Genomic DNA, 23,721 nt, shown 5'->3' on the forward strand with positions numbered 1-23,721 from the left:
TGGTGTGGTGTCTGGAATGAGACTGGGGCCTAATAAAAAGGAGCGTCTATATGGGAGCTCAAACGGGCTGTACCCTGTAGCATTCTGGGGACAGGTCTGACTTCTGAGAAGGGAAAGTGGTAAAAGTATTGTCCAGTCCTTTTTAAGTTGGTGGCTGAGCTTGGTGAGGTGTGTTTTTAAAAGACCTTTAGTCCGTTCTACTTTTCCTGAAGACAGAGGACCGTAAGGGATATAAAGGTTTCACTGAATACTAAGAGCCTGAAAAACTGCTTGGCTGATTTGACTAATAAAGGCTGATCTGTTATCAGACTGTATAGAGGTGGGAAGGCTAAACTGAGGAATTATGTCTGACAGAAGGGAAAAAATGACTGTGGTGGCCTTCTCAGACCCTGTAGGAAAGGCCTCTACCTATCCAGTAAAAGTGTCTACCTAGATTAATAGGTATTTTAGTTATCTGACTTGGGGCACGTTGAGTAAAGCTAATTTGCCAGTCCTGGGTGGGAGCAAATCCTGGAGCTTGATGTGTAGGGAAGGGAGGGGGGCCTGAATAATCCCTGAGGAGTAGTAGAATAGCAGATGGAACACTGAGAAGTTATTTCCTTGAGGATAGATTTCCACGATGGAAAGGAAATGAGAGGTTCTAAGAGGCAGGCTAGTGGCTTGTACTACAGCATAGCCTGCCTTTGCTGGTGTGTGGCGATTAGGCCTGGTGGAACCGCCATCAATAAATCAAGTGTGATCAGGGTGAGGAACAGGAAAGAAGGAAATATGGGGAAATGGGGTGAATGTCAGGTGGATCAGAGAGATACAGTCATGGGGGTCAGGTGTGGTATCAGGAATAATGTGGGAGGCCAGATTGAAATCCTGGCCAGGAACAATGGTAATTGTGGGACTTAACAAAGAGTGAGTACAGCTGAAGGAGCTGGGGAGCAGAAAGTATATGCATCAGGTATGAGGAAGAAAATAGATTTTGGAAGTTATGAGAAATGTAGAGAGTGAGTTGAGCATATTTGTGATTTTGAGGGCCTCTGAAAGTATTAAAGCAGTGGCAGCCGCTGCACGCAGACATGAGGGCTAGGCTAAAACAGTAAGGTCAAGTTGTTTGGACAGAAAGGCTACAGGGTGCCGTCCTGGCTCTTGTGTAAGAATTCTGACCGCACTAACCATGCCTAGGAAGGAAAGGAGTTGTTATTTTGTAAGGGCTTGAGGTTTGGGAGATTAATCGGACATGATCAGCAGGGAGAGCACGTGTGTTTTTATGAGAATTATGCCGAGATAGGTAACAGATGAGGATGAAATTTGGGCTTGACTGAAGTAATGGGGGCTGTCTGTGAAGCCTTGAGGCAGTACAGCCCAGGTAATTTGCTGAGCCTAATGAGCGTCAGGGTCAGTCTAAGTGAAAGCGAAGAGAGGCTGGGATGAAGGGTGCAAAGGAATAGTAAAGAAAGCATGTTTGAGATCCAGAACAGAATAATGGGTTATAGAGGCAGGTATTGAGGATAGGAGAGTATATGGGTTTGGCACCACGAGGTGGATAGGCAAAACAATTTGGTCGATAAGGCGCAGATGCTGAACTAACCTGTAAGCCTTGTCTGGTTTTAGGACAGGTAAAATGGGGGAATGGTAAGGAGAATTTATAGGCTTTAAAAGGCCATGCTGTAACAGGCGAGTGATAACAGGCTTCAATCCTTTCAAAGTGTGCTGTGGGATGGGATATTGGCATTGAGCAGGGTAAGAGTGATTAGGTTTTAATGGGATGATAAGGGGTGCATGATCAGTTGCTAAGGAGGGAGTAGAGGTGTCTTATACTTGTGGGTTAAGGTGGGGAGATACAAGGGGAGGATGTGAAGGAGGCCTTGAACTGGGGGAAAAGGTGGCAATGAGGAGTGGCTACAGTCTCACCTGATGGGAATAGTCAGGGAAGCAGATAATTTAAAGTGTCTTGGCCTAATAAGGGAACTGGGCAGGTGGGGATAACTAAAAAGGAGTGCCTAAAAGAGTATTGTCTAAGTTGGCACCAGAGTTGGGGAGTTTTAAGAGGTTTAGAAGCCTGGCCGTCAATACCCACAACAGTTACGGAAGCAAGGGAAACAGGCCTTTGAAAAGAAGGTAATGTGGAGTGGGTAGCCTCTGTATTGATTAAGAAGGGGACGGATTTACCTTCCACTGTGAGAGTTACTCAAAACTGTGTGTCTGTGATGGTCTAGGGGGCTTCCGAGGCGATCGGGCAGTGTCAGTCTTCAGCCGCTAAGCCGAGAAGATCTGGGAAGGAGTCAGTCAGAGAGCCTTGGGCCAGAGTTCCAGGGGCTCTGGGAGTGGCTGCCAGGTGAGTTGAACAGTCTGATTTTCAGTGGGGTCCCACACAGATGGGATATGGCTTAGGAGGAATCCTGGGCTGTGGGCATTCCTTGGCCCAGTGGCCAGATTTCTGGCACTTGTAGCAAGCTCCTGGGGGAGGAGGTTCTGGAGGAACCCCAGGTAGCTGCGGTTCAGGCGTTTGGAGTTGTTATGTGCTGGAGATGTGGCTGGGGTTTGTCTCACAGTGGAGGCAAGGAATTGCAACTCAGAAATACATTGCTACTTGGCTGCCTCTACTCTATTATTGTACACCTTGAAGGCGAGGTTAATTAAGTCCTGTTGTGGGGTTTGAGGGCCGGAATTTAATTTTTGGAGTTTTATTTAATGTCAGGAGTGGATTGGGTAATAAAATGTATATTGAGAATAAGATGGCCTTTTGACCTTTTAGGGTCTAGGGCTGTAAAGCGTGTCAGGGTTGCTGCCGAAGGAGCCATGAACTGGGCTGGGTTTTTCACATTTGATGAAAGAGCCTAAACGCTCCCTGATTTGGGAGAGGTGAGATAAAGAAAAAGGAGCATTAACCTTGACTATGCCTTTAGCTTCAGCCACCTTTTTAAGAGGAAATTGCTGGGCAGGTGGGGGAGGGCTCTCAGGGAATTAAACTGTAAACCAGACCAGGTGTGAGGAGGGGAGGTGATAAAAAGATTATAGGGTGGAGGAGCGGAGGCTGAGGAAGAATTGGGACCTAACTCAGCCTGGTGAGGAGCACCCTGGGGAGGAGCAGCCTGGGGAGGAGGGGAGAGGTCAGATGGGTCTGTAGAAAAGGAAGATTAGAAAGACTCAGCGATGCTTGGGGTTGAGACTGAGGGGACAGTTGGGAGGGAAAGAAGGAAGATTTGGGATGAGTTGCACTGGGCACAGAGACTAGGGAGGGACCGATGTGTAAAAGAATGCCTGGACGTCAGGCATCTCAGACCATTTGCCCATTTTACGACAAGAATTATTTAGATCTTGCAGAATGGAAAAATTGAAAGTGCCATTTTCTGGCTCTTTGGAACCACTGTTGAGTTTGTATTGGGGTCAAGCAGCATTGCAGAAGAAAATAAGGCATTTAGGTTTTAGGTCAGGTGTGAGTTGAAGAGGTTTTAAGTTCTTGAGAGCACAGGCTAAGGGAGATGGAGGAATGGAGGGTGGAAAGTTGCCCATAGTGAAGGAGGGAAGCCCAGAGAAAAGGAGAGTAGAGACACAGAGGGAAGGGGTTCGGGGGTTCCTACCCTCCAGAAAAGAGGGAAAGGGGTTGGGGCACAGAGATAAGAGGTCGGGGCCCAGAAATAAGGGATTGGGTGTTCTTGTCCCCTAGAAAAGCGGGACTTGCCGCTAAGGGTGAAGGAGAAGGGGTTGAGGGGTTCTTGCCCCTCCTCCAGAAAAGCAGAGAAGGGGTAGAGACACGGAGAGAAGGGGTTGGGGTACTTGCCCCTCCCCCAGAAAAGTGGGACTTGCCACTAAGGGTGAAGGACCAAGGCAGGCGTCCCTGCATGGTCTGACACCTCTGAAACAGAAGAATAGTCAGAGAGGCATCCGTGCAATGATTAAACACCAAGGGAAGCCTGCCTTCCCAGTCCGTGACCGGCCCCAGAGTTTTGGGTCCACAGATAAAACATGTCTCCTTTGTCTCTACCAGAAAATGAAAGGAATTGAAATGAAGAGAAGGGAGAGATTGAAGTGTGGTGCCAAGATTGAAAGGAGAAAGAGGTTGAAGGATAGTGAGGGAGGTTGGAGAAGAGAGAAAAAAGAGGCCGCTTACCAGATTTGAAATTGGTAAGATGTTTCTTGGGCTCGTTGGTCTGAGGACCTGAGGTCGTAGGTGGATCTTTCTCATGGAGCAAAGAGCAGGAGGACAGGGGATTGATCTCCCAAGGGAGGGCCCCTGATCCACGTCACGGCACCAAATTTCATGCACGTCTGTGTAAAGAGACCACCAAACAGTCTTTGTGTGAGAAATAAAGCTTTTAATCACCTGGGTGCAGGCTGGCTGAGTCCGAAAAGAGAGTCAGTGAAGGGAGATAAGGGTGGGGCCGTTTTATAGGACTTGGGTAGATAAAGGAAAATTACAGTCAAAGGGGGGTTGTTCTCTGGCAGGCAGAGTGGGGGTCACAAGGTGCTCGGTAGGGGAGCTTTTGAGCCAGGATGAGCCAGGAGAAGGAATTTCACAAGACAATGTCATCAGTTAAGGCAGGAACAGGCCATTTTCACTTCTTTTGTGGTGAAATGTCATCAGTTAAGGCAGGAACCGGCCATCTGGATGTGTATGTGCAGGTCACAGGGGATATGATGGCTTACCTTGGGCTCAGAGGCCTGACATTTTCTACTTTTGTTTTTTCCCTTTGATTTATATTTAGCAAGTCTAAATCCCACATGTACCCTATTAATAAACTTGTTAAAAGAGATCATTGATTTCTGATCAATTATCAGAGATTATTTATTTATAGTAGTTATTTTCCTGTTCAGGATATGAGCCTTTTTTTCAAATTTGCATGTTGCAAATAATATCCCACACTGTATCTTGACTTGTCATTCTCTTACCTGAATGTTTCTTTTTTCTGATAAATAGTTCTTAATTTTAATGTAGTTAATTTTTGTTTATAAATTGCACTATTTCAGAAGTCAAAACTGACTCCAAAACAATGTATCTCACTTTATTCTTCAAGACAGTTATTGTTTTTTTACTTTACTTTCCCCTTAGAAGTTAATTTTAAGAGTAGTTTGAAAATGAGTAAATTTCACTGTTACTTCTTACTAGTAGTGAATAGGACTAAAGTCACTTATTGAAAATACTGTTTTTTTTTTTTTTTTTTACTTCTTTACACTGTCATTTTTCTCATAAGTATTAATGCATATTTTTTTCAGTTTCTGTACTCTCTATGCTAGTTCATTGATCAGATTTGTTTGTTTTTAATTTCTGTGCTTTCCATTAAAATTGGTCTTTCTGCAATGTCATTCTTAGGTATATGTTGTCCTTTATATTTAGATATGAATTTTAAATTCAGTTTATCTTGTTTCACACATATAAACATACTTATACAGGGAAACTCATAAACTTGTGGAATTTTGAATGGGATGACACAAAGTCTGTAAATGAATATAGGTAGAAAATCATTAAATTATTAAATATTCAATTTCTAATATTCTTCTATGTATGGAGATCCTATTAATTTCCTCTTTTATGTTTCAGAGTCCATCATGGTTTTTTTCTATTTTTAGACTTTTTTTTTTTTTTTTTGCTATTTGATGTTTTGGTTATATTGTAGTGTTTTATTAAATCTCAGGTTTTCTGGCCTGTATGTTGCTGATAGTTAAAAATGTTCTTAATTTTGTGTATATACATATATATATATACATATATATATATGTGTGTATATATATATATATACATATATATGTGTATATATATATATACACACATATATATGTGTGTGTATATATGTCTTCCATATTCATATATTTCACCGTTTTGTATTTTCATTTTATACTAACAGTTTATAGACTTAAACACAATGACTTGTTAATGCATTATATCTTGCCAAATTATCATATTTATTTTAATAAATTTTCCATAGAACCTTATGTGCACAAACATGCTATTTTAAATTTATCGTGCTTGTTATTGTATCTTTTATAGAATAATTGCCATAGAGATTTGATTGAAAGAATGAAATATGGTGTTACACGGAAGGAGGATAACAATATTTTAGATTAAATTACTTCAAAACTATTAATACTATATTTTACTTTAATAAATCAATGAATACTATCAATACATTTTAAAGTGATTAGACAGAATTATACTAATTTTGAGACTCTATAATAATTCTGAGACTCTGTCATCTCTTCTCACCTTCTCCAGCATTTAAAACTATGAATGAAACCAACAAGAGGTGAGATATGACTGTTGACCCAGGAGTCCTATCATGATTTCTTTCTCAACCCTGGTTTCAGCTGACTGCCCTGAAAATGCTCTTTCTACTGTCCATGACAGCTAATATCAAACTAGTTTCAAATTTTCCATGTGAAAAATGAGGATCAAAAATCACTGAGGCACTATCCTCAGATGCATAGGAAATTTGAAATCTGAAATGAAAATGGTCAGTAATTTGTTTTTTGGGCCTAATTGAATAATGTAAGATAGGAATAATAAGTATACTATGCAGGCAAATTATGTAACACCTTTGGAAAGTTTTTATTTATTTCAAAACAATTTATAAAGTTTGGATAAGGCTCAGCAACAATTTATTTTATGTGGCATATTTCCATGTATGTAGAAAATTTAAATTTTGTATATTAGATGGGATGTACAGATATAAATGTACAACCCATGTAATAGTCTCTGTACAGAAATTTATCCTATGTATAAAAAGACAAAGCATGAGATTAAAGATGCCATTCTGATGGATTACAATTCTCAGAAACCTAGTGGTATATAACAATGGTGTACTGTCCATTCCAGCCCATCGATCTACTTCTATTCTCTTTCATCATTATCACTCTGTCGTGGTCACTGTGGCTTTATAGTAACTCTCGAGATCAGGTATTGTCAGAAATATAATTTTGTTCTTTTTCAGTATTGTGTGAGCTATTTGAAACTTTTTTGCCTTTCCATATAAACTTTAGACTCAATTAATATTAAAAAAATAACTTGCTCAAATTTTGATGTAGATTTCATTGAATTTGGATTCTTCATATGCATTTCCTATGGCTTATTGTTAAATGTATCTTTTGATGGAACTAAATTATATGTACTAGAGCATGTAATGGTTGAAACACTGTGATTGTGGTTAAGGAAATAGCATGAAATTTCATGGATAAACCAGTCATGGCTTTGAATTCCAGATTATTCAATCATTAGCTGTGTGAACATGGCCAGGTCACTTAAATCACCTGAGCTAACGAAAAAAATATTACTCACTGTACAATTGGCGATTACATTAATGACAACTGTTTTATTTTAATTAATGCTATATTACATTGCCTGATACACTAAAGTGTTTCAATTCATGAAGTGGTAGAAAAAATTAATAGTTGTCCGTACAATAGGCGGTATGAGGGGGCCATATTATTCACAGTAGTAATAGTAGTAGAAGAGCTTTTTCTCTATAAAAAAAATAGAGATTGATTACTTTGAGTTTCGTAGTCTGATTAAATACATTTTAAGATGTCTCTTGAGAGATAACTCTAAACTAATTAGAAAACAGTCAAAGCTTTACAAATAAATTGTTGGGAACAAGCCCCCAAAATCTGGCCATAAACTGGCCCCAAAACTGGCCATAAACAAAATCTCTGCAGCACTGTGACATGTTCATGATGGCCATAATGCCCACTCTGGAAGGTTGTGGGTTTACGGGAATGAGGGCAAGGAATACCTGGCCCGCCCGCTTAAAGGCATTTTTAAGCCACAAACAATAGCATGAGGGATCTGTGCCTTAAGGACGTGCTCCTGCTGCAATTAACTAGCCCAACCTATTCCTTTAATTCAGCCCATCCCTTTGTTTCCCATAAGGGATACTTTTAGTTAATTTAATATCTATAGAAACAATGCTAATGACTGGCTTGCTGTTAATAAATATGTGGGTAAATATCTGTTTGGGGCTCTCAGCTCTGAAGGCTGTGAGACCACTGATTTCCCACTTTACACCTCTATTTTTCTGTATGTGTGTCTTTAAGTCCTCCAGCGCTCTGGGTTAGGATCTCCCCCACCATGCTGGTCTCGGCAATATATATAATTAAGGAAATGGAAATCTAGATGAAATTTCATCATCCAACTTCATTTCTTAGACCAAAATCGTTCATAAAACTTCATCTATGCAGGAAACTTCCCTTGGCTAATTCTCAACTGAATAATGTATGTCTTCTACTTAACCTTTTAATTCATTATTTTTGGGGGCAGCTCATTATTCAGATTGTATGTCAAACATACTCAGTGAAAATTCATACTTGGGTATTGATAAGTCAGAGAATTCTCTGATTTATCTACTTAGGGTCAGGCATCAAGTCTGCTGACAGCAAATATAGTTTTAGTGATCACAGCAGCAGATAATGCTACTTGATGGGATATTAACACTTTTAGTCATAAGTCAGAATTAATGACTTGTTCGAGTTGCCTGAAAATATATCTTCATGTGGCTCTCTCACAGCCAGAAAATAATGCAAAATATCTAAAGTAATGAAAGATATCTGGAATCAATGAACAGTACAAATAAAATGAGACTGTTGTTATGTACTTCATCATTGCTAATATTTTAAGAATATGTGCACGATCATGCAAATATTTTGCTCATCTATTTGAAAGGGTGGTATATGCAAAAAAAGGTGGTATTTGCAAAATTGTAAAACATACCACTACTCTATGAATTAATGCTGAGAATCTTATTTGTAAATGTAATATAAGTAGCCTATATAACAAAACAAATCAAATCAAAACCTAGTTAATTGAATTAAATTTGAAAATATTATTGAATATAACTTTTCTCATAGTAAAGTTTTTACCTTTAGGTAATAGTAGCAATAATTCCAACCTTTAAAGAAATTTGCATATGTTGGTATGATATTATACTATTAGAGTTTTATGTGTAATCCTTAAACTGAATAAAATGGTTCCTTGTAGTGTTCTTTTCTTAGTAGAACTATTTTTTTATTTACTTAGCTTTACAGCATAATTTGTGAATTATTTATTTTTAAATGGCTATATAGCATACATTATCAATATAAATAGACATAACCCTGATGTTAAGGAGCTTACAACCTACTTCAGAGATTGAGAAAAGAACAATAATTATTAAATATAATTATCATTTAACTGCATACAAACGTTAGTGGATACTTAGGTGAATAATTATTTTTAAAGAAATACTAAAACAGGCCGGGCACAGTGGCTCACGCCTGTAATCCCAGCACTCTGGGAGGCCGAGGCAGGCGGATCACCTGAGGTCAGGAGTTCAAGACCAGGCTGGCCATGGTGAAACCCTGTCTCTACTAAAAATAAGAAAAATTAGCCGGGCATGGTGGTGCGTGCCTGTAATCCCAGCTACTCAGGAGGCTGAGGCAGGAGAATCACTTGAACCCGAGAGGTGAAGGTTGCAGTGAGCCGAGATCACACCATTGCACTCCAGCCTGGGCAACAAGAGAGAAACTCCATCTCAAAAAAAAAAAAAAAAAAAAAAAAAACTAAAATAATGAATATTTGAAAAAACATTACAATATTTTAGATGGGCAAAGGTGAAGGATACCTTCCAGAATAAGGTAATTATCATTGAAAAACAGAAATAATATAAGGAAGAAAAAGAAGGAGGAGGAGGAGGAAGGGCAGGAGGAGGAGAAAGAGAAGAAAAATATTCTTTAAAGAATCATACATAATTCAGAATTTCTGCAGTGTGAATTCAAGTGGACGAAGAGATAAAATATGATTTGATTTCTAGGCAAAGATGAACATAAAGTACTAGTATAATACAATATATGAAATGTTTAGATTTACTCAGTGTGTTGTATATAGTTACTAAATACTGTGAAGCTTGGGATTGTGTGGGTTACTTTGATAAGGTTGAAAGAGATGGTCTAGACCATGGGATATATGGAAAAGATGATTTTCCAGAATTTGTTTTCTTAATTCCTGTGCACCTAAATATAATTTCTGGCTTCCATGGCATTTCATGTGGCCATAAAATTCTTGCAAATATGATATGTGCAAAAGCAATGTGTGCCACTTCGAGGCTTTGTTTTAAAATTAATCATTTGCCTTCTTCAATGTTCCTTATTAGATTAAAGTAGAAGTGACCAAACATATAGTGTACACCATGCAGGCAATAAATATATTAGGGAATTGTAGAAGGAAACTTAGAAAGGAATCAAGGTGTCTTGCAGACATGAGCCACTTATGTTAGAATTTTAACATGAGAAAGAAAAACATTCATTCTTTAAGTAACTATTGCACTGAGTCTCATGCTTCTTCTAGCTTAGCCTTCTATCCTAACCAGCATAGGATCTAAGCCTGTTAACACAAAATGTAGAAGGAAAACACTGAAAGTCCAAGCTAGAATATTTATGGGGAAGCAGAGAAAAGAGAGACAAGGAAAACCCTAAGAAGAAATTATTTACAGGTCAAATGATTAAATGGATATAAAAGTTAGAAGATACAGGTATTAAGGATAATTTCTGATACTCAGTTCTCCAGAACTGACAATTTCTAAGGAATGTGCAATAGATTGAATAAAAACATTGTAAGGCTGCGTATCTAAACACACATATCTGAACACATTCTAAATTTGCTTAGATATGAAACGGTGTTAGTACATACAATTCAAGGTAAATGGGAGTGAGGTATTTTCCTGGAATTTAACTTTAATTTTTAAGGTATTTTTTTAACTTGAGAATTGAGAAACGCCTGTGGCAAATGAAAACAAGTATTGATAACATTGTCTGAGTGTCTGTGAAGAGGGATAACAAAAAGCAGTCCAAGGAAAAATTTCTAAATTAACATTTAAGGAGCATTAGAGGAAGGTACATGTCCATCAAAACAGTTGTCAAAAAAGTAGAATAGGGAGAGAAAAGCTTCATAAAATCAGAAGGAAAAAGGGGGTTTCAAACAGAGGCAGTCGTGAACAGTGTGAACACCTTAAAGTGGTCAAATAACTTGGAAACAAAAATAATTATGGAGGAGTTGTGATATCTAGATGAATTAGGTAAATACAGCAGGAGATTATCCTGATATCCAAACAGCATATTTTAAGAGTGGAGAGAAAGAAAGCCCATATGTCTTTGAGGTACGTGCCAACCATGGAAGAGAGCCAATCTCAACTGCCTGAGAGATTCCATAGTGTGCAGTATAATCAAGAAGACGGTTGCACTGATAAAGAGTAGTGAGACTTGAAAATCATAATCAGGCTATAATCACATATAGAGAGTTAAGACAATGGCAAACCTAGGAATGTAAAAATGAGTTAATAAGTATTCTTCAGCAAATACCCATTACTTTATCTCTTTTCACAGTGTTTCACATTAAAGTCCATATTTTTAAAAGATTCCCATTCTCTTTAATATGTATACTTGATGTTTGCTCAAATTTCATCTCAATGAAACCTTTTAAACCTGATCCTAATACAAACTGTGACTTTCTAACACTCTCTTCTCCAGCTCTCCTTTTTTAGTCTCCATAAGCATAACTACTACAAAATATGCCATGTATTTCATGTTTTTGTTATGGATATTGCTTATATACTGGAAAATAGAACAAAATTCTGTAAAGATATTTTATTTCTCTTGTTTTTCTTCCACCTTGAACCACATCTGTTCAGTGGTGGATACTTAGTAAGTAATTATTTAGTAAGTGCATAAACTATCCTTTGACTTTTGCCTAAATTACCCTTGGACTTTTACACATCAATTTCTCTCCCGATAGAGTTCTGCCTTAGTTCTTTATATTTGCTAGCATCCAAGTCCTAAAGAAAATACAACGATATTTTTAAGATGTTTTACTTGACTGAAAAAATCTTTTTTAGTTTAAAAATTGTCATCTGCTCTTTGCTCTTTTGTTGCTTTCTTCTGCTTTGCTTGTTTTTTCATATGAGCTGTTTTATTTTTTCACTCTTTGTCTCTTTTTTAGATTAAAAGTTTATTTCAACTCAGTATTTGTTGTCAGGTAAAGTTATTGAAGATCACCTTTGACTCCACTTCTCTCCACTGAGTACTGTTTCAGTTCATTTTCAGATTCACACATGCAGACGTGGTCGATGATAAAACACAGTTCTCAATTCAACTATCAGTGTTAAACAGGCAGGATTTTTCAAAGAGTAATTCTCCTAAATTAAACAATTTTGTATTTCTATTTTTTCTATTGTGTTTCATAATATTAGAAATCAATAAAATATACTAACATATAATCTCCAGCATGTCTTGTTAGTAGGACTCTTCCTGAGTCTTTCCCTAGCTGCATAATTTATATTCGTGAACATCACCTATCTGATGTCATATTCCATCATGCTCTCTATGGCAGATTCTTTACGTTCAGTTGTTTACAGTCTTTCCACTCTTGAGTATTTTGATAAAGACATTAGATGTAAATACCAGATATCTCTCTAATATGTATGTCAATATTTTATTTTTTAATACGTTCTGTGTACAATTTTATGGTTTTTGACATATTTACAAAGTTGTTCAGCCACTAACCATCACTCTCCAATTCCAGAACATTTTCGTTACCCTAAAATTAACAGTCTCTCTCAATTTCTTCCCTCTTCCTGGGCCCATGGCACACATTAATCTACTTTCTGTGTCTAGAAATTTGTTCACTGTGTACACTTTATATAAAAGTGGTTTACAATATATAACCTTTTGCACTTAGCTTCTTTCACTTAGGGTAGTGTTTTCAAGGTGCATTCTTCTTGTGGCATGTATCAGTACTTCATTCCTTTTATAGCCAAATAATATTTAATCATCTGGGTACAGAACATATAGGTTGTCCAGTTATCAATTTATAAACATTTGGACTATTTTCAAATTTTGTCTATTATGAATAATGCTGTTGTGAACGTGAATGTACAAGTTTGTGTGTGAATTTACGTATCTTTTCTCTTGGGGATATAACCAGGAGTGAAAATCCTGGGTCATGTGAGAATTGTAGACTTAATTTGTTTTTGAGAAACTTCCAACCTGGAGTCCGAAATTGAACTATTTTACATTTCAACCAGAAATGTAAAAGAGTTTCAATTTCTCCACATTATCATCAAAACTTGTTATTGTCTTTTTCATTATAGACATCCTATTAGGTGTGAATTAGTATCTCATTGTGGTTTTGATTTCTATTTTCCAAATTAATAATATTGAACATCTTTGCATGTACTCATTAGTCATTTGTACATCTTCCTTGGGGAAATATCTAGTAAACTATTTTGTCATTTTAAAAATTGGGTTGTCTTTTTATTGTTGAGTTGCAAGAATTCTTCTATTTTCTGAATAAAAGTCTCTTGTCAGAGATATAATTAGAAAATATTTTCTCCCATTCTCTGAGTTTTCATTTTCATGATTATGTTTGCTGCATAAAATTGATCAATATTATCCTTAGCAAACTAACGCAGGAACAGAAAATCAAATACTGCATGTTGTCACTTGCAAGTAGGAACTAAATGATGAGAGCTCATGAGCAGAAGTAAGAGAACAACAGACACTGAGGTCTACCTGAGTGTAGAGGGTAGGAGGAGGGAGAGGAGAAGAGTAAATAACAATTAGGTACTAGCTTTTATCACATCTGGGTGATAAAATAATCTCTACAGCAAACCCCTGTCACATGAGTTTACCTATATGACAAACCTTCACCTGTATCCCTTAACCTAAAAGCTAAAAAAAATTGTTCAACTTTCATGAAGTTCAATTTACCTATTTTTGTTGTTGGCTGTGATTTTAGTGTCATATCTAAGAAATCATTATCTAACACAGAGCAAAAAAAAAAAAAGTCCTATGTTTTTATTTAAAATATTTTATGATTTTAGTTATTACCTTTAAGTATTTTATCTATTTTTGAGTAAATGTTTATATATCATGGAAAGTAGGGCTCTAATGTCTTTTTTCTTTGCGTGTGAATATCTGGTTGTTTCAACACAATTTATTGAAAGACCATTTTTCTCTATTAAATTTTCTGGTACTCTTGTCAAAACTCAATGATGATACATGTGAAAATTTATTTCTGGACTCCTAATTCTATTTTAGTAGTCTATATGTCTATATTTATGCCATTACCACACTCTCACTCTCTTGATTAATGTAGTTCTATGGTAAGTTTTGGAATCATGGTGTGTGAGTCATTCAGTTTTGTTCTTTTCATTATTTATTTGGCTAATCATGGTGCCTTATATTTTCATATGAATTTCAGGACTATCTTGTCAATTTATGCCAAAAAGGCAGCTGCTATTTTGATAATTAAAGTGTAGATTTGTGAATAATTTTGAATATATTACTCTTTTAAAATATTATACTTTCCCATTTACAAAATTGGGGTAACTTTCCATTTATTTAGGTGTTCTTTAATTTCTTTTGATGATGTTTTATAGACTTTATTGTATAGTATTGCACTTCTTTTGTTATATTTATTGCTGAGCATTTTATTATTTTATGCTTTAAAAAAAGACTTGTTTCCTTAATTTTATTTCTAGTTTGTTCACTGCTCATTGATAGAAATACATTGGATTTTTATGTTAATCTTTGATTCTATGTCCTTGCTGAAATCATTAATTCAATTGTGTGTTGCAGGGGTGTGGTTGTGAGTAAATTACTTGGGTTTTTGTTTGTTTGTTTGTTTTTAACATAGAGGATCATGTCATCTGTGAGTAGAGAAGCTTTGTGTCTTCCTTTACCATCTGGATGTCTTGTATTTCATTTTTTTTTTTTAGCCTGCTTTCCCTGGTTGGAACTTCCAGGACACTGTTTAACAGAAGGGGTGAGAACAGATTTGTTTGTCTTGCTCCAGATCTTAGGGAGATTCTTTCCATGTTTCATCATTAGCTATTATATTAGTTGTAGATAGATTTCCTTTATCAAGGTTAGGATGTTTCCCTCAATTGTCACATTGTTAGATATTTTAATAATAAGATGAATATAGTTTTTTGTTAAATGCCTTTTCATCATTGTGATATGATCATGTGGCTTTTATCCATTGTTTTATTACTATAGTATACTACCTTTATTGTATAGGATTATTGAGTTTCTAATATTAAATTAACCTTTTTTCCCTAAAATAAATCTCACTTGTACATAATGTATAATCTTTTTTATATGGTGCTGGATTTAGTTTGTTTTGTTTTTAACATTTTGTTGAGTATTTTTCCTCTATATTTATGAAGAATATTGGCCTGTACTATTTTTTTTCCTGTGATGTCATTGTCAGGCTTTGGTATCAGGGCAACAGGAGCCTCAAAGAATATGCTTGGAAGTGTTAACTCTTATATATTTTGCAATAGTTTGCAGAGAAATAGTGTTTATATTTCTTTAATATTTGGGAGAATTCATCAGTGAAGCCTGCTGGGTCAGGGATTTTCTGTGTATGTGTGTGTGTGTGTGTAGCAGGAGGCTCTGGGTGGGTCGTTCTTTAATCCCTAATTCAGTCTACTTGTATGCTTACTTTTCACTTTTTCTATAGTTTCTTCAGTTTTGATAGTTGATTTTTTAATAAAATCAGTCCGTTTCATACATATTAGTTTGTTGGCATACAGTTATGTCTAGAGTTTCTTTATAATCCTTTTTGTTTCTATGAGGCTGGTAATAAAATCCCTTTCATTCTTGATTTAGTAATTTGTGTCTTCTCCCTTTTTCACTTTCTATTTCAAGATGAAGTTTTGCCAGTTTTCTTTATCTTTCAAAGAAACAACTTTTGATTTTGTTGATTTTCTTTATTGGTTTTCTACAATTTAGTTTATTTTTTAAACTAATATTCATTATTCATTTCTTTTTATATGCTTTGTCTTTATAGTGTTCCTCTTATTCTTCTCTTATTAGTTTTTTAATAAAAAATAGGTAGTTTAAGACATTTCTTCTTTTTGATACAGGAAATTATAGCTAGAAATTGGCTTCTAAGCACTGCTTTAGATGTATCTCGTAAATATTGGAATATTGTATTATGTTTTGGTTAGGAACAATTTTTCTTGTGATTTCTTATTAGATTCTTGTTTATTTAATAGTGTGCTATTTAATTTTCATTTATTTTTGAAACTTCCTAATTTCCAACAGTTATTAATTTTTAATTGTATTCCACTGTAGATAAAACATATACTTTATATAATTTCAATTATTTTAAATTTTTTCACCTTTCCCTATATTTTTTATCATTAAGATTCATGCATTCTAACATTTATACAGCCTTATGTACTGTTCAGCTGTGTCCCCCACACTGGAATACAGTAATGCATCATTTAATGTTGGGACTACATCTGAAAAAGGCATCATCAGAGAATTGCATTATTGTGCAAACATCATGGAGTGTGGTATACAAACTTAGACTGCATAGCCTGCTACACATCTAGGCTATATGGTATAGCCTAATACCCCTAGTCTACAAACCTGTACACCATGTTACTGCATTGAATAGTGTCGGCAATTCTAAAACATGGTTATTGGTATATCTAAACATATCTAAACATTAAATTGGCATATTGAATTAAGTCAATGAAATTTAAAGAATTAAAAGAGAGTATGTCTAAATTGTATGAGACCCCTGTTGTATGTGTGGTTTATCATTGACCTAAATGTCATTATGCGTGCATGAATGTATAAACTTCTGAAGGCACAAAATTTTTCTTGTCATTGTATTTTCACTATTTATAATATCACAAGGACCATGGAGGCAGCTCAAGAAAATACTAGTTTTGAGTAAATAATGTGGAAAGGGTATGGATCTCTTTTCAATGCATAATATCCAAGAATCAAATGAAAATATCCACCTTCCAAACACAAAAATCACAAAGGATTTAGTCTTAAGTCTCAATTTTGTAAGAAATTTTATAAATTTTTATCAATCTAAATTTAGCACTTTCCGAATGTTTGAATTCAACTATTACAATTTTAAAATAGAATATTTAATCTTTCCAGCTCTCCAGTAATTCAACTACCATGAAATCTATTCTTTCATCTGTTTATATGACACATTACTTGCTATGGAATTGTTATATCTGATACCTCTTGCTTCTTGTATTAAATTGTGGCATCCTTCCTTATTATCCCCGGTTTCTGATTTCAGCTTTGTGAGTCTCATCTCAAAGCTGGTAACTGATAGTAAAGTATCCTTCAATCTGTGTTTGACAGAGTTCATATAAGGCATTCCATGTAATTATCTGTGTGTCCAATATTCTAATAGTAATGTCACTCCCTCAGTTTTTTATGTTCACACCTAATTATTCCTAATTATTTATTCCACAAAATAAATATACTGAAAATAATACACAGTAAATCAACTAGTATACAATATTTTTCTAATAATTTGTGTATATTTGAAGATTATTGGACTATCAACTGTTTTTGTTTCGTTTTGTTTTCAGTTGATGCCAGTCATACTCTTAGGACTTGAGGAAATAAAAAAAAATAAATAATCTGTCATCAAGATTCTTTAGATGTATTAATTTGGGTACTAAAACTATAGATTTTCAAAAAGGAAATGAGGTAATTTTTAAAAATGGAAGATATAAAACTTTGCTCTTTTTCTTTGTAGCACTCATAATATTCATTCAATCTAGCTGAATGTTTATCAGTTTTATTAATCTTTCCAAAGAACAAACTTTTGGCATTGAGGATATTTCTGTGGTGTTTCTTTTATACTTATTTTGGTTCTAATTTAAAAATTATTGTTTTGCTTATATTGGATTTGCTTTTCTCATCTCAAGGAAGAACTTTAAGTCACTGATTTTAATTCTTTCTTGTATTCTAATATAAACTAATATTAAACTAATAAAATAGTATTAAATAATCCTTTGTCATAGAAACATGTAAAATTTTAATTTTCTTTCTAGGTGAATCTGAGTGAATCTTTATAGATTCAGCCAACAAATTTTGATAAGTTCCATTCTCATAATAATTCAGTTCAAAGTACTTATTCATTTTTCTAGTAATTTTTTACTAGACATATAATATTTCTAAGTGTGTGGTTCTGTTTTGAAATATCTGCAATTCCTAGATCCCTTATTACTATTGTTGTATTGTCATCCTATCTGTGGAAGAAAACATACTCTTTTAATTATTTAAATTGTAGTATTGACTTAATTCAAAACTCATGGTTTATCTGACACACAAACATTTTTCCCTTGAAAATAATGGGTATTTTTTATCTATTGTTTTGACAAGTACTGAGAGAAGGATTTTCAAAATATCAACTGTGGTTTGTTTTTGTCAATTCCTATCTCTAGTTCTGTTCACTTTGATTTATGAACTTAGATAAGACATGTTATTAAGAACATATTATTTTTATTTTATCCTTATAAATTGCTCATTTTTCCTTTAAGGCATTTCTCTATTTCTGGCAATAACATTTTATAAGAAGTCTATAGTTTCTGAAATTATTGGAGCCACTCCTTTATATGCTAACACTATGATCGATTGTTTATATTTTTAAATTTTCTCCATATTATGATGTGTTTACATCTTTTTTGACACAAAGGTTTTAATTAAATGAATAAACTTTTATACATACACACTAAAAATGACATCGGAGTTGGGATGTGATAACCCTAAACTTCAATATCCTTGCAATTAGAAAGAAAAAATACAGTCTAAAAGTACATGATTTATAGCAGCTTCTGGCCTAAACATGAAGATGAAGGGATTTAGAAATGATACAGAATTTATAATAAAGACACGTGAGTTAAAGTCTTATCATCCTTTATTGTTAGTTATATAACCTACAGTAAGTTATTTAACCTCATTGAAGTCTATTTACTTGTCTGAAAAAGGCAGTTAAGAATACCTGCTGTATTAGTCAGGGTTCTCTAGAGGGACAGAACTAATAGGATATCTACATACAAAGGGGTGTTCGTTAAATATGAATTTACACAATCACAGGGTCCCACAATAGGCTGTCTGCAAGCTGAGGAGCAAGGAGAGCCAGTACAATTCCCAAAACTGAAGAACGTGGAGTCCAGTGTTCAAGGGCAGGAAGCATCCAGAACGGGAGAAAGATGTAGGCTGGGAGGCCAGGCCAGTCTCTCTTTTTCACATTTTTCTGACTGTTTTATATTTGCTGGCAGCTGATTAGATGGTGCCCACTCAGATTAAGGGTGGCTCTGCCTTCCGCAGCCCACTGACTCAAATGTTAATCTCTTTCAGCAACACCATCACAGACACACCCAGGATCAATACTTTGTATCCTTCAATCCAATCAAGTTGACCCTCAGTATTAACCATCACAAGTCCACCCCTTGTCAACTTGAACCCATACACATCTCCTGAGATCATACATAATCTTCAATAAAGACAATAACAAGGTCATAATTACACTTAACATAGTACAACTATCCTTCGTACAGAAACGTACCAATCCCCAACCCAAATACTATTACATAGCTTTAACAGTACTAAAAGGCTTATATTGAAGTCCATAAATCTTACATCACGTGATAAAGGAAAAGGGAATAAAGATATTTTCTTAGTACAAGTGTATACATGCACAGACATGTTTTTAGCAAAAGAAGGTGGAGACACTCATGACAATTACAGTCTGCGTTCTGCAGCTGGTCACGTGGTCATAGCTGGTATTGATGACTACCTTTTTCTAATACCAATTCTTTATTCCCTTTGCCTTCAGCAAGCGCCTCAGCAAGTCATGGTTTTGTTTCCTGGTGGAGTGACCCACACCCTCATTCCTGAGGGGGTCTGGGCCATTTGTAGTCCTGCCTGGATTGAGCTGTTGTAGTTTCCCATTGACCTTAATCTCAGGGCATGGTAATACTAAGAGATGCCCTAAAAGATCTCCTGTGTTCCGTGTATTCTCTTCCTTACCTCCGTTATGGAGTAGTAGATTGATTTCATCTTGATAGTCCGGGTCAATCACCCCAGCCAACACTGTAACTCTCTTCTTAGCCTGTTGACTCAAAGGTAGGAGGAGCCCAAAGTGTCCAGGTGGCAATCTTAGCTGCCATTTTAATGGAATCATTCTTGTGTCTCCTGGTGGCAGTATTCCTCCCTCTAAACAGTTCTCACTGAGAAGAAAAGCTGCTCCTGCCAGAGCTAGTTAATTCTCAGAGACAGCAAAGGGCTCAACAGGAGCTTGCCTTTGATATGCCAAGTAACCAATCCAGATCCCTATCTTCTCTATCTGGATCTTATTCCCAAGTAGATAATATTCTTCTGTCTTAATCATCCCAGGGCAAGATACCAGGTAACTAGAAACTGTCCCTATAGCTTAGAGACGGCCAATATTGTTCAAATTAGCCAGTCCTAAACTGTTTGCTGTGCCATGCTTTTCCCTTGAAAACCACCATAAAGTGTTCTGTGAAGTGCTCACCCCTTCCACTTCCACTGGCTGACAGCCAGCGTGTTGCCTTGAGTAAGCCTGCATGGTATGGCATGCTTTCTGTTTTTTGGACCTGTGAGTATAATGAACTTTGTTTTCCTGAGCCTCCTCTGTGTTTCCGTGTGTATTCACATCTGACTGACCATGACATTAAAGAATGTTAAACACATGCTCTGTGTCATTTTAATGGATCTATTTTTCAATCTACCTAGTCAAAGTGCATCAATAGTGGACAGCTGGTTTTCTCCTGTTTCACCGTATTTGCATTTCAATTTTACCAGAATTGTTTTTCCTATGCTTAATGTAGACTTGGAGACTATGCACTGTATAGGTTTAAAAAAGTCTATGGTGGACACATAATAAAAGTCACAGCATTATTGCTCTGTGTCAGATTTTTCTCATATCATCTGTTGTACCCAATATACCTGTTTTTTCAGTTCCTAGAAATATTGATACCTTTATTTTTTTCTTCCTCTTTTACCAGTTTTTAAGCCATTTTTCATTAATTAATTATTAATTTAATATTTCAAGAAAAATTGGATTAACAAATCTAGGTAAAACTTACAATGTTACAATGTTCTTTTTGTTCTTCCTCTGGACATGGCAACCTTGAAGAAATTAAATATATATTAGTTTATTGAGTTCATGATTTGGGTGTCCTAGAAATATTTGGGTTCCTAAATCATGAAGAACATCAACTTTGTTATATTTTGTTATAGATAATACAGTAAATTATATATTATATATTATTATTATTAAGTGGGGAGTAGGGAAGCAAATTCTACTGATGAGAAAGAGCAAAATTAAAAATGTTAGAGTGAATCAAATTTTTAAGGATCATTCTAATATTTGAGTTTATTAAGATACCATATATATTTCATCACATATTTATATCATTTAGTTTTGCATCCCCAGCCAGATCTCAACTCAAATTGTAACCCCCAAGTGCTAAGGGAAGAACCTGGTGGGAGGTAATTGAATTATGGTGTCAGTTTTCCCCACTCTGTTCTTATGATAGTGAGCGAGTTCTCATGAGATCTGCTGGTTTGATAAGTGTCTGGCATTTCTCCTGCTGGCACTCATTCTCTCTCCTGCTGTCCTGTGAAGAGGTGCTTTCCACCATGATTGTAAGTTTTCTGAGGTCTCTCCAGCCATGCGGAACTGTGAGTCAATTTAACCTCTTTTCTTTATAAATTATCCAGTGTTGGCTATTTCTTCATAGCAGCATGAGAATGGACTAATATATATATCCTATACAAAATATAATTTTCAAATTAGAGAAGAAAATACATAGTTTAAAAATGTTTATCAGCCTGGACAACATAGGGAGACCCTGTCTCTACAGAAATATAAAAATAGAAAAATTAGTCCCAGCTACTGGAGAAGCTGAGGTGGAAGGATTAGCAGCCAGGAGTTTGAGGTTCCAGTGAGCTGTGATAATCCCACTGCACTTTAAGGTAGGTGACAAAGCAAGGCCCTATCTTAAAGATAAACAATAAAAAATAAATTAGAAGAACAAAGTTTATCATTTAATATATTTTATTTTAAAATAAAATAAAGCTGCTACTGGGGCCTAAACACTGAGCTAGAAATTGAATTTGTAGAGATGAATAATAATTCAGATTTCTTTGAAAAGCTAAGCGTTTAGTAATTGAATATTCAAAGATTTATTGAAAATGTTCTAGATGTTGCAGATGTTGAAAAGACCTCAAATTGCTTTTAAAACAAAAAATAAGTAACTAAAAATTTTATTTGTTTTATTTTTTAAACCTGGTCAGTATTTGATTTTTTAAAATCTTAGTCACTTATATCTACTGACTGTCAGACCACACATTTTTACAAATATAAGATAAATTTATATCAAGCAGTCTTGAGGTATCTTGCAGAACTATCTTCATCGTTAAAGATATAATTAGAAGAATAAATTAGTAAATTATGTGGAACGTTATCACTGTCTAAAAAAGCTAGAAATTGGTGAAGTATTTAAAAGTCAGTAAAAGGTTAATGGGAATTCTAATGTCCAATTAACATTTCTTTCAATTACAAAATTTCATTAATGTTACTCTGTATATGATTTATGGCCAGTGTACACAAATCTAAATTGCAATTGTTGAAAAAGTCTGATTAAAGGAAACAAGCTACTCTCATTCTTTTAAAGTAGATATATCACTAGCCAAAAGTTTCACTTATAAAAGACAGTCAATTTAAAATTACTTGCTTTATAATTTGAAAAAAATATATCTACTCAATTATATTACATTAAACAGAATATACAGAATATTCTTAAAAATTAATGTACAAATGCAAAACATAATATACTACTCTTTTTAAGAAAATTGCTGGCAAGATTTGTTATTCAATTCAGCATGTATTCCCTCCATAATATAAAAAAGTTTGCCATGACAATAAGAAGAGATGAATATTCTGTAGTCTTAGTTTAAGAATAAATTCCTAGTTTACAAAAGGTATAATGCCTACATTCTCTCACATACTAGCCACTAAACTTTGACTAAATAATTTGACATTTTTAATAGAATTAAAATACAGAATGCCTAATCAGAATTTTCCATTTAGAAAGTACTATTCTACTATGAGTGGATATTTTGGGTTGTTTTGAAGATCTAGTATTTTCAAGCCCCGAAGATATTTTAACATGTTATTTAGTTCTTCAGTATTTCCTACAAATAATATTATACTTGGAAAGTCAGCTGGTAGACAACCTGTAGGATATGCCTGGTGATTTCAAGCTCAAAAAAGTACATTTGCATAATACCTGAAGATTTAAAACTCAGTTGTGGTTTTTATTCTGGATATGATATTGATTTTTATATTCATTTATTTACGTAATTTTTATAATTTCAACTTTTATTTGAGATTTGGGGGGTAGCTGTGCAGATTTGTTACATAGGTATATTGCTTGGTGCTAAGGTTTGAGATACAATTGAACCTATCACCTGGGAAGTGAGCATAGTATCCAATAGTTAGTGCTTCTTTTCCTTCCTTCCTTCCTTCCCTCCTCCCTCCCTCTCTTTCTTCCTTCCTTCCTTCTTCCCTCCCTATCTTCCTCCTTCCCTCCCTCCCTCCTTTCTTTCTTTCCTTCCTTCCTTCTCTCTCCTTTCTTTCTCTTTCTTTCTTTCCTCCTTTCTTTCTTTCTTTCTTTCTTTCTTTCTTTCTTTCTTTCTTTCTTTCTTTCCTTCCTTCCTTCCTTCCTTCTTTTTCTTTCTTTACTTCTTTCCTTCTTTCTCTTTTCTTTCTTTCTTTCTGCTTTCTTTCACTAGTTCTTGCTCTGTCTCCCAGGCTCGAGTGCAGTGGCACAACCACTGCTCACTGCACTGTAGAATTCCTGAGCTCAAGTGATCCTCCTGCCTCAGCCTCTTGAGTAGTTAGGACTACAG

This window comes from Homo sapiens, chromosome 13, assembly GCF_000001405.40.
Source record: "Homo sapiens chromosome 13, GRCh38.p14 Primary Assembly".
Taxonomy (NCBI): Eukaryota; Metazoa; Chordata; class Mammalia; order Primates; family Hominidae; genus Homo; species Homo sapiens.